Here is a 12,833-nt window from a genome sequence, read left to right as displayed (position 1 = left end):
TTTGAGGTCATCCAGGGTTTCCTCTTGGTTTTAAAATTGGGGTGTTGGATGTAAGCCCTATTTCTAACAATAGAAGGATGTTTTGCTCTATGGAGAAAGTGGTGGAAGAAACTGGGGGCCAAAAGGTCCACAGCCCCACGAGAAATCATGACCCAGAATGAGCACCCGTTCCAGCAACAGCTGGGAAGGTCCTGAGAACCCTGGCTGGAGGAAGACTTGTTTGAAGCTGGAACCTTCAGCTAGAAATAGAGCACACCCCTTGCTTGATTCTTGAGTTTAGTCTCAGAGTGGTCTAGGAAACCTTCTTTTCTTTTTTTTTTTTTTTTTGCCAGACTTTCAGTGTCTGCCTCTGTGACTTGGAGCTGGTCGTCATTAAGAGAGGAAGAGAGTTATCAGTGAGAGGTGTTCATTCTATTCTTTGCATCCACTCCAGAGCAGCACCATGTGATAAGCCAGATGGGGACTATGTGCATGTGCCCACAATAATGGGTGAGTTTCTCTAGAGCACCTGTGTCTCCTGCTTACAACTCCAGTCTAAGGTGGCTTAAGGGAAAGTGACCCAGGGATGGGACTGTTCCCATAATGGTTGCATCCCATCAGAAGGACTGGAGGTGCACACACATCTGGCCCACCTCCTACTCTTGAGCTCCCTCCATTGGACCCTGTGCTGGCCAGGGACTTTGGCCAGAGTTCATGGCTGTAGAAAGCCAGGTCACAAACCCTTGAGCCTATGGGCCCACTCTGCACCACCAGACACTTTAATATTTCCAGCCATTTTCAGGGTCTAGCCCCTCCCAATCCATGACTCCAAGATGGCTCTCAAATAGTACATGCTGCTAGCCTAGAATTGTTCTCCTTTTGGCACTGCTATGGGGAGAGGTGTTGAAAGGAGGCTGGAGCAGATGGAAATGAGATTCCATTACTTTGTAAATGCCTAAATGGCATTTCTTTCTAATGCAACATGAGAGTTTTAGCATGCTTAAAAATTGTCCTATGCTAATTATGAGGCCCATTTTTGTTAAAGATGCATACACCTCTCTTGTAGTTGGGGACATTTTGGCTTTGAGGTTGGTTTCCATGTGTGAATTCCATCCTGGGCACTGTTTAGGTCTGTTAGTAACCGGCTTAGCACTTGCCAATTTCCCTCCCTGGGTAATGACAGAGATGCTAACACAATAGCAAAGCTGTTAATCCCAAACATGTTACTAATAAGGCAGGCTGCCTTGCTAGAGGTTGCAGAGAAGAGGAGACGGATGTGGAAATGCTAATATGTGAACGAGAGAGCTCTCTCATACCCACGGATTTGCGGATAATGAGGAATGTCCTGCTTTTTTCAAAATGTCACCGCACTTAATCAACTCAGAGCTCCCTCACTAATCACATGCCAGCGACTGATGTTTGGTATTTGGGAGGCAGTGAAGGTGAACGGCAAATGTGGATGATTTCGCTCCATGGGTGGCACTGGAAAGATTCTTGCTGGATTCAACTTTCTTCGTCATTTTTGACATGCTTCCCTATGTGCTTTATTGACTCTTTGGACACATAATAGACCCCATAGCTATTTATTTATGGAAAGAAAATCAATAAATGTGGGAATGAAACCAAACCCAGCTCAATCTGGGTTATCATTTCAGAAAAGAGCAAAAGCAGGGAGACTAGATACTGTAAGATTTGGGCCAAATGTAGTTTGGAAGCATGGCCTGGCCAAGTTCAAGAACTCTGAGGAGGTGGAGGAAAAGACAGAAATCATGGAAACTGATTCTTCCTTTCCCTAAGGAACAGGTGCAGACAGCTGTGGAGGAACCACACAAACAAATTCCAGCTTTGATTTGGAAATAGAAGCTGCACTGCAGACAATTGATTAAATCTTTAAGCAGTCTCAATTCCACCTGGCAATCTTGTTAGTAGTCCCGGACATGCTTGAAATTTGGTCGTGCTCACCTGATAGGTTTGGTGATGACAGAGGGGTAGCCACTGACCAAACTGATACATCTTGCTTGACATGTAGGGTAGTTCTGAAAAGCCATAAATAATTCTTCAACTTAGCCATAAACCAGAATGACTTCAGGAGCTTTAAAATAATATTGCGGCATTGTGGCCTAACCTTCACCTCCGGAGATTTGGTTTCAATTAGTTTAGTGCGGGCTCCTGAGAACTCCATTTCCTAATGCTTTTTAGATGATTCTGGAGCTCATCTAGGTTTAAGAAGAATTTCTGTGTTTTCCAGACTTTGGTATTTCACAGACGAGTTAAATTTCTAAATAGGAGCTTGACTTAGGGCTGTCAACATTTTACTTTGCCAAGTAAGGGGGAAGGAACTAGCACCTGCTGTCTTGGTCGGCTTGGGCTGCTCCAACCAGAATAGTAGGTAAACTGGGTAACTTATAAACAACACAAATGTTTTTCTCAAAGTCTCAGAGTCTGAGAAGTCCAAGATCAAGGTGCTGGTAGATTTGGGGTCTGATAAGGGCCCATTCCTCATAGTTGATACCTTCTAGCTGTGTCCTCACACAGCTGAAGGACAAACAAGCTCCCCTGAGCCTCTTTATAGGAGAACTAATCTCATTCTTGAGGGCTTTGCCCTCAATAGGTGACCTAATCACCTCCTAAGGGCCCTACCTCTTAATCCTATCTCATTGGGGATTATATTTCAACATATCAATTTTGGGGAGACGCAAGCGTTCAGACATAGCACCTTTTGTCAACATTATTTCATAAACAAAAAGGTGGATTCATACCAAGGAAAAAACTGGAAGTACAGATCTTTAAACACATTTAGCTTTATAAAAAAAAATTCACCATGCTGGGCGGGTGCAGTGGCTTACGCCTGTAATCCCAGTACTTTGGGAGGCCAAGGAGGCGGATCACTTGAGGTCAGGAGTTCGAGACCAGCCTGGCCAACATGGTGAAATCCTGTCTCTACTAAAAATACAAAAATTAGCCAGGCATGGTGGTGCACACCTGTAAGCCCAGCTACTCAGGTGGCTGAGGCAGGAGAATCACTTGAATCCAGGAGGCGGAGGTTGCATTGCAGTGAACCGAGACCATGCCACTGCACTCTAGCCTGGACGACAGAGTGAGACTCTGTCTCAAAAAAAAAAAAAAAAAAAAAAAAAATTACCATGTTGCCACAACCTTATCCATAGCAGCTTATTCACAACACCTCAAAGGTGGAAACAGCCCATTAAGATGAACGGATAGGCCAAATGTGGTATATACATAAAATGCACTACTATTCATTCTTAAAAAGGAAGGAAATTCTGTGACATGCTATATAACATGGATGAAACTTCAGGACATTTTTATGCTAAGTGAAATAAGTCAGTCATGAAAGTCCAAATATTAAATGATTCCACTTACGTGAGTGTCCTGGAGTAGTTAAACTCATAGAGAAAATAGAATAGTGGTTGCCAGGGATGGAGGGGATGAGGAATGAGGAGGGAGCATTTAATGGGCACAGTTTCCGTATGGGATGATGAAAGAGTTCTGGAGAAGGATGGTAGTGATGGTCACGCAACAGTGTCAATACACTTAGTGCCACTGAACTGTATACTTAACGATACATTTCATGTTATGTATATTTTGCCCCAATAAAACAATTACAACTTTGCTTTTATTCTCTAATTTTGTTGTGCAGATTGACATTTGAAAGCCACTGCTCAGAATGAAGTAATCTCCGATGTCTTAGATAGAGGAAGGAAGGCCTGTGGATGCAGCCTAGGTGACTGAGTCCAGTTACCCAGGATCCGTTCATCAGAAAGCCTCTAAACTGCTCCAGAGAGGCTGCAACAACCTAACTCATGCTAGATGATGAAAATGCACTTCGAGATTACTAAACAAACCAACAAACAAACAGCCATGCCCTTGGAGAAACGAAACAATCTCTCAAACATAGACATACCTCAGGCCAGGGGTCAACTTGTACATTAAAGTGTTTGATACTTTTTATGAGCAAAGATGTTTAGTGGATGTTGCTCCCAAGAAAGTTTTCAAGAAGACCCTAAAGATTATCTAAGTGGGCAGAAATTATAGGTGACACCTGTTTTTTTCTTGACAAAGCAATAGAGTAAAGTAGGAAAGAACTGGTGGTTCTTTTCTACAGAGAGATTAAAGTTAAAGCACAGAGGTTAAAGTTAAAGCAATTTGGCACCCACAGGAAGACACTTACAGACAAGATGTTCTCTGGCACAGACTTCATTGTTGGTGAAATTATAAGATTACACAAAGAGCAATACTATTCTTTCCTATAGTGGTTGCTTCTTATTAATATATATGTATATAACACATAGTACCTGAAGTTTTGTGATGACTGGTTAGTAAGTTTTCAAAATTCAGATTAATCTATTCTTAACAATATGGACACTGATAGCCTATTAGCAAGCCATTTATTTGGAATTTATAATCATGGAATTTTCGTACTACATTAAGAATCTCCATGGGTGATAATAGAGCACTAAAATAGCTAGCATTGCACTGATGTTTCTCACTCTCTACATTTGTTTAATTCCTCTGCCAGAGACACTTACTTAACTTGTCTTGGTGGATTTTTGTAATGTGTCTTTCAAATGGAAAAACCGTATTCAAGCATTCCAGTTTTATCAAGTAGCAAAAACACCCAGGCTGTTGGCCAGAATTTGCATGTTTGTTACTGCAGTACATACCCAGATATCTCAGGCAGAGGAATAATAACAATTTTCCACAATGTCATTGGATCCATAATTCTGGCAGTAGGTTAATTCACTTAGCCACTTCCATTAAAGCAATAATTATTGGCATATAATCTTAGAAATCACCATGCATTGCGGTGTTCAATTCCAGTTGAAATAGAATTTTTAGTTCAATAAATGTTTGCTAAGTACCTACTATGTGTACTGCTGTATTATTTCTTACCTTTGTCCAGCACTTCAGAATTGTAAAAGTTATGTTGATTTTATCATTTCATTCTGACAGAACCTTGTGATGAGGACAAGCAGGTTAACATACAAGGAAACTGATGCATGCAGAGATTAAATACCTTGCTAAATACCTTGCTCAAGATCTCGAAGACAGTAAGTGATGTAGTTACAAATACAATCCAGGTTTTCTCAAGCCCATTCCAGTCTTCTCTGCTCTGCCCTGCTATACCCCACCTCATTGTCACCACTCGCTGTTGATGTCTATCTTAAATTGCCCTTTACCAATTCTCTGAATAATTTTCTGTGCCAATATTTTTTTCTTTTGTTTTTTTGAAATGTTTTACAATCTCACTAAGCAACGTGTTATGTGATTCAGAAGGTCTTATCTTCATAAGCTCATCTAATGTGGCTACCAGTATTTGCCAATCAGTTCCTTTGCTTTCCATATTGCTAATGATAGCTTTGCATACCTCTTTCTTCCAGCAGCAGGAACAAAAGAGAAACCTGGCCATTGCACCAGGATAAGCAGTGTGATACACAGAGAAGTCTGAGAGTGAAGAGACCTGAATTCTTGTGTTGATTCTGCCATTACTTTGACATGAAATGTTGGACAAGGCAATATGCCACCACAGGCCTTACTTTTCTACTCTACAGGGATTGCAATGCTTTTTTGGACCTCAGAGGGTTGAGGTTAGCACAAAATATGTGAAGGATTTGAAAAGAATTAAACTCTATATTAATGTAAATATTACCAAGTCTTTTTAGAATCCCTGCTAGCATAAAGTGTGTGTGTGTGTGGTGTGTGTTTGTGGTGGAAGCTGGGGGAGAGTAAAGAAACTTCTCAATGGCTATCCTGGATCAAACATATTTGAATTATATTTCTGTGTGTCTGTAAGCACACACGTTATAATTCTGTGCCTGTGGGATGGAGAGTGTAGATGGGAATGCAGAAGGATATAAGATACTACCTTACATTTCAGGGACTTGATGCCTTTGTAATGTATACATAGACTCAATTTTCTAAGCACTACTATCTACCCAGTTATGCATATTCTGGGCACAAAACCAGATAGGATTTCTCCATTTCTGGTATCTGCAGAAAAACAGAAATATCTAGATTGATAGTTGCTATGGTTTGAACGTCCTCTCATAAATTCACGTTGAAATCTAATTGCCGTTGTGATGGTATTAAGAGATGGGACCATTAAGAGACAGTTAGACCATGAGGTCCCATCCTCACAAATGTATTAATGACATTATTGTGAAAGTGGGTTGGTTATTGTGGGGGTGGTTTCCCAGGTGAGTTTGGCCAACTCCCTCTGTCTGGTATGCTTGCTTGCCCTTCCACCTTCTTCCATAGGATGGCTCAGCATGAAGGTACTCCCCAGATGCCAGTGCCATGCTCTTGGATTTCTCAGTCTCCAGAACCATGAACCAAATAAACTTCTGTTCATTATAAATTACTCAGACTCAGGCAATCTGTTATAGAAGCAGAAAATAGACTAAGGCAATAATTTAATATAGAACTCAGTGAAGATAAAAATAAAATCATCTACCAGTACACACTTATCAGAATGGCCAAAACCTAGAACATTGACAACACCAAATGCTGGCCAGAATGTGGAGCAACAGGAGTTCTCATTCATTGCTGGTAGAAATGAAAAATGGTACAGCCACTTTGGGAGAAAGTTCAGTAGTTTCTTTCACAAAACGAAATACATCTTTACCATATGATCCAATAATCAAATTCCTTGGTATTTACCCAAAGAAGTAGAAAACGTTCACACAAAAACCTGCACACAGATGATTATAGCAGTTTTGTGTATAATTTCAAAAACTTGAGAACAACCAAGATGTCCTTCAGTAAGTGAATGGGATAAACTAGTACATCCAGACAATGGATTTACTAATGAAAACTTTACATTTCAAGTCATGAAAAAACATGGAGGAGCCTTGAATGCATATTACAAAGTGAAAGAAGCCAATCTGAAAAGGCCACATACTGTACGATTCCAACTATATAACATTTTGGAAAAGGTGAAATTATAGAGACAGTAAAAAGATCAACGACTACCAGGGGTTAGGGATGGGGAAGAGAAAAATAGGTGGACCTCAGAGAATTTTTTAGGGAGTAAAAATACTCTGTATGATAGTATACTGATGGCCATTATACATTTTTTCCAAACCCAAAGACTATACAACACCAGAGTGAACCCTAAAGTAAACTATAGACTTTGGGTGATTGTGATGTGTCAGTGTAAGTTTATCAATTCTAACAAATGCACCACTTTGGTGGGGATGTGGATAATGGGAAATGTTATGCACGGGAGGGCAGGGGGTATATAGGAAATCTCTGTAACTTCATCTTGATTTTGCTGTAAACCTAAAAGTGCTCTAGTGCTCTAAAAAATCATGTCTTAAAAATAAAATAAAGTTATCTGAGAATAATTAAATAATATCCAATGATGATAATATTATATTGATGATATATATTTACAATGATGTTAATATTTACATTGAATGTACTAAAAAGAATCCTGAATCTAGTCTCTACTTCCTATTCATTAAGGAACTAGTGGTAACTTTTAAAGAATATGATTAATGGAATTATCTTCTAGCCCCCTCTCCATGTCCAGATCTTACAGTTTCAAGCCTTCTGCATTGAGATGGCTGATTTTAACTACAAGTCTCTTATTAATCACAGAAAAAATAATGGTCTATCTACACTTGCCACTTTCGAGGAACAAAAACTTTACCAATTTACACCTATGAAAAATTCCCTTTCCCTCCAATGCATTCTGCAAATGATTAGTGACAGCTTGACTATGTGTTAATAAAAATGGCAGCAAAATACTTTATTTCTCAAACCCTTTTTAAATCTGTCTTCTTTCTACCTCATTCAGTGTCCTCTTTGCTATGTGATACTGAGAGGAGCATTTTAAGTCTTTTTTCATGCAATGAATTTTTTGCTGCTTGAAGTACCAGCTGAAAAAGGTCACCCATTGCATTGCACCATATCACCTCCTATGTAACACCATTAAGCTCACGCCTGGCACTCATTGCTCAAAAGTAGTGTAGGGACATACCAAATTAATTACCTAATATTCAATATTGCAAAGGTTCTGTTATTCCTCTCGGAATAAATCTGCATCACAAGAAGAAAGCCTTTTGAGGGTTGTGTTTCCTTGAGTTAAGAATCATGTAAAATACTGGCCAAGATGTTTCCTCTCTAATCATCTTTTTTATTCATAGCTTAGTTTGGAAAATGTAATTCCTTTGCCCCAGGGCTCCAGAATGATAAGATTTGTTTCTTATATCTGGATTATGAACAGGTTAATCATCTGCAACTGATTGCACTTGTCTTCGTGAATGTTCATAGGTAATTGGAGCACTGCTTTTTCTTTGCTCATTGGATCATGACACAAGAGTTGTTCAATAACTCATCCTTTCTGGTCACTTCGAAACAAAAAATTCTCTCAGGAAGAGAAATTTCTAAACAATATTTCCCTCAGAAAAAAAAATCAAGACTCTCTTATTTGACCTCTGGGTATGATACCAAGATTGTGTAACTCGAGGAAAGGCAGCAATGAGCAGGTCTGTTTGTCTTCAATCTGTCTCTTCAAAAACAGAATGGTCTACAATGTGGTGAGTAATGCCCAAACTCCACTGGCTGTATTCTTCCTTAAATGGGCTTATAGTTACTCTCTTAGGGAGTAAGGGTCAGAATATTAAAAATCTGGCAGTTTTCTATGATATCCTTCCTTGGGACCCTTGCATCCTTGGAGATGGTACCCCAGGCTCAGGAAAACAGAAAACAACCTAGAATGGGCAAGGATAGGATTGTGACTAATTAAATACTGATCTAGTTCTTGAATGAGCTCTGTAGTCATGCAGAAAGTTGATTACCCTTTGTCATTATGGCCTGGGGCTGGGGATCTCGGGATTATAAAAACATGAAAAAGAACTATGCCAGAGGGACTTTAACGTGGACTCAGTGTCTAATATAGATCAGGTCATTTCTTGGAGTTTGAGAATTTCCCCCTGTAGCAGATCTATGACGTGATAGATTCAAATGATTTTAAGAATCCTGCATCAGGCTGTGTTTATGAGGCACAAAACATGAATTAAACTTTTTGCAAGGAAGTTTCATAGAAAGTAAGTTATTCTTACAAGGGACGTGAAAGACCTCTTCAAGGAGAACTACAAACCACTGCTCAATGAAATAAAAGAGGATACAAACAAATGGAAGAACATTCCATGCTCATGGGTAGGAAGAATCAGTATCGTCAAAATGGCCATACTGCCCAAGGTAATTTATAGATTCAATGCCATCCCCATCAAGCTACCAATGACTTTCTTCACAGAATTGGAAAAAACTACTTTAAAGTTCATATGGAACCAAAAAAGAGCCCGCATCGCCAAGTCAATCCTAAGCCAAAAGAACAAAGCTGGAGGCATCACACTACCTGACTTCAAACTGTACTACAAGGCTACAGTAACCAAAACAGCATGGTACTGGTACCAAAACAGAGATATAGATCAATGGAACAGAACGGAGCCCTCAGAAATCACGCCGCATATCTACAACTATCTGATCTTTGACAAACCTGAGAAAAACAAGCAATGGGGAAAGGATTCCCTATTTAATAAATGGTGCTGGGAAAACTGGCTAGCCATATGTAAAAAGCTGAAACTGGATCCCTTCCTTACACATTATACAAAAATCAATTCAAGATGGATTAAAGACTTAAATGTTAGACCTGAAACCATAAAAACCCTAGAAGAAAACCTAGGCATTACCATTCAGGACATAGGCATGGGCAAGGACTTCATGTCTAAAACACCAAAAGCAATGGCAACAAAAGCCAAAATTGACAAATGGGATCAAATTAAACTAAAGAGCTTCTGCACAGCAAAAGAAACTACCATCAGAGTGAACAGACAACCCACAAAATGGGAGAAAATTTTCGCAACCTACTCATCTTACAAAGGGCTAATATCCAGAATCTACAATGAACTCAAACAAATTTACAAGAAAAAAACAAACAACCCCATCAAAAAGTGGGCGAAGGACATGAACAGACACTTCTCAAAAGAAGACATTTATGCAGCCAAAAAACACATGAAAAAATGCTCACCATCACTGGCCATCAGAGAAATGCAAATCAAAACCACAATGAGATACCATCTCACACCAGTTAGAATGCCAATCATTAAAAAGTCAGGAAACAACAGGTGCTGGAGAGGATGTGGAGAAATAGGAACACTTTTACACTGTTGGTGGGAATGTAAACTAGTTCAACCCTTGTGGAAGTCAGTGTGGCGATTCCTCAGGGATCTAGAACTAGAAATACCATTTGACCCAGCCATCCCATTACTGGGTATATACCCAAAGGACTATAAATCATGCTGCTATAAAGACACATGCACATGTATGTTTATGCGGCATTATTCACAATAGCAAAGACTTGGAACCAACCCAAATGTCCAACAATGATAGACTGGATTAAGAAAATGTGGCACATATACACCATGGAATACTATGCAGCCATAAAAAATGATGAGTTCATGTCCTTTGTAGGGACATGGATGAAATTGGAAATCATCATTCTCAGTAAACTATCACAAGAACAAAAAACCAAACACCGCATATTCTCACTCATAGGTGGGAATTGAACAATGAGAACACATGGACACAGGAAGGGGAACATCACACTCTGGGGACTGTTGTGGGGTGGGGGGAGGCGGGGGATAGCATTGGGGGATATACCTAATGCTAGATGACGAGTTAGTGGGTGCAGCGCACCAGCATGGCACATGTATACATATGTAACTAACCTGCACATTGTGCACATGTACCCTAAAACTTAAAGTATAATAATAATAAAAAGAAACTAAGTTATTCTGGAGGAGAAAGAGGTTGGTGCTCCAGATATACTACAGAGTAACCATATGTACTGTTTTTCCATGGATGCTTGAGATTTGCACCTGTTGCCCTGACTCAATAGTGCTTCCCCTTTCATATTAAAATATTTCCTAGTTTGGCAGAAGAATTCTATGGTCACCCTAGCTATATGATATTTGACTATTACTTTCCAACAGCAATGGGTTTGTTGACCTTGCACAGGATTGGTCAGGCAAAGCATGTGTTCATGTAAGAAGAGCCATAGTGAAGCCCTCTGCTAGACGACACTGGATACAAAATATAAAAAGAGTCAATACTTGCCCAGCTAATTGGTCCCCAATAAATGAAACCCTAAAGGAATAGGTTCCAAATGTTTCTGAGACAAATTTTCTCAACTCAGATTTCTCTTCATTTTACAACAGGAACATGGGGCCAGATAATTCTAATCAAAGGAAGAGCTGAAGTATCATTCTTTACCTATTATATGTAGATAAAGAACAACATGCAACTCTGAAGTAAATGGGAAAAACTGGAAACACTGCAGATTTGTGGAACAATGAATTCTATGGCTTCAATATCCAAATCCGTAATTGTTGTGCCCGTGCAATTTCCAGTCAAAGTAATTTAAGAAATGCCACTTGGTGCCATGTGCAACCCCCTATGTCTCCCATCTAGAACTCCCACCAATGCATAGATACTTAAATGTTATATAACAGAAATTTCCTCTTCACCCAATTCTGTTCATATCTGAAGATGACTGATATCGCTGAGAGATTTTCTTATTTCACAATGTACTTTGAGTAAATATGTTACACATTTTTATCATTGAGACACAATTCTCCACTTTATTGGTTATTGCACTGATTTTAGTAAATAATAAGTTAGCATATTAACATAAAAATCTAACTTTGATTTCAAAATAAAATAGGAATTTTTTTAGAAGCCTGACTTTAAAAATAATTCAGAGAGGGGAGAGGTGAATGTCCTACAGCAAGAAATTAAAATTGGATACAATGATGTAAAAAAAAAAAGGTTTTATTAACTTTAGATTAAACAGACATGAGGTATTCAATTAAAATGATTTCTGAGGTTTTAAAACTATCATGTCCTGTGATTAATACAGTAAATGTATGTTTGATTGAAATATTAAGCAGAAGGGAAATAAATAACAGAGTTTTAAAAATATATATTCTCATTAGCAATGCAAGGCTGAAGTAAAAAGTCCGGTAAAAATATGGCTTGCTTCTAGGAGATGAGTAATATTATTTACGGAACTCCTTTGAACAAGTCATGATGTTCTCATTTACATGTGTAGCCTGATTGGTGAATTATGCCCTAGATTCCAAATCATTGTTCTCTAAACTTGAGCCCAGAAATATACCTGTGGTCCAACCTCCTTCTCCTTGTTTCTCTCACTCTCTTTTCCATGCAGTGTGGATGGAGCAGGGGGCGGGGCATCTGGCTGAAATAAAGACTGCTGCTCTATCATTTTAAAGCAACTGGATGAAAAGCAAAAGAATTGGTCAAACTGAGTATTTAGTGTCATGTAGAATTTTTTTAAAGTCTCGTCTGGTTGTATTTAAACCACCAATCCCTTCGAAGTTTTTCTTTGAAATTTAAATTGGTGACTATTTGAGTGAAGATAACAATCAAGGTGGGTAAGTACTAGGAAAGAAAAATCAATGGTCCAGTTCAAGAGGGGGTCAAAAGGCAGAAGCAGCAGTCAAATTTTAGCTGTAAACTTAACTATGAATAGGCCAGAAAAATCTCCAAATAACATGCAAATACACTATGACTTGAAATATCCTTCCCTGACAGTAAGCAGCTGTTTGACCCTAGACAACTCCATGCAATCTCTTCAATCTTTGGTGACCTGAGCCATAAAATAAGGGCATTCATTCACTTTCCACTCAACCAATATTCTCTGAGCCCTCACTATGGATCAGGAGCTGTAAAAGGTCCTAGGAAATCAATGGTGGGTAAAATAGACACTCCTCTGTCCTCTAGAGGGGCATGTGGATTACTAGGAAATA

General features: G+C 39.1%; 1 long non-coding RNA gene across 1 annotated transcript; it reads left to right on the top strand.

Moving 5' to 3' along the window:
- Positions 1–311: 311 nt before the first annotated feature.
- LOC107985890 (uncharacterized) lies at positions 312–4,863 on the top strand. The gene is made up of 2 exons (XR_001739519.1): positions 312–489; positions 3,638–4,863. It is a non-coding gene; the product is annotated as an uncharacterized LOC107985890 (long non-coding RNA).
- Positions 4,864–12,833: the final 7,970 nt, after the last annotated feature.

This window comes from Homo sapiens, chromosome 2 (genome assembly GCF_000001405.40).
Source record: "Homo sapiens chromosome 2, GRCh38.p14 Primary Assembly".
In the NCBI taxonomy this organism is placed as follows: Eukaryota; Metazoa; Chordata; class Mammalia; order Primates; family Hominidae; genus Homo; species Homo sapiens.
This window is presented reverse-complemented; position numbering and strand designations above follow the sequence as displayed.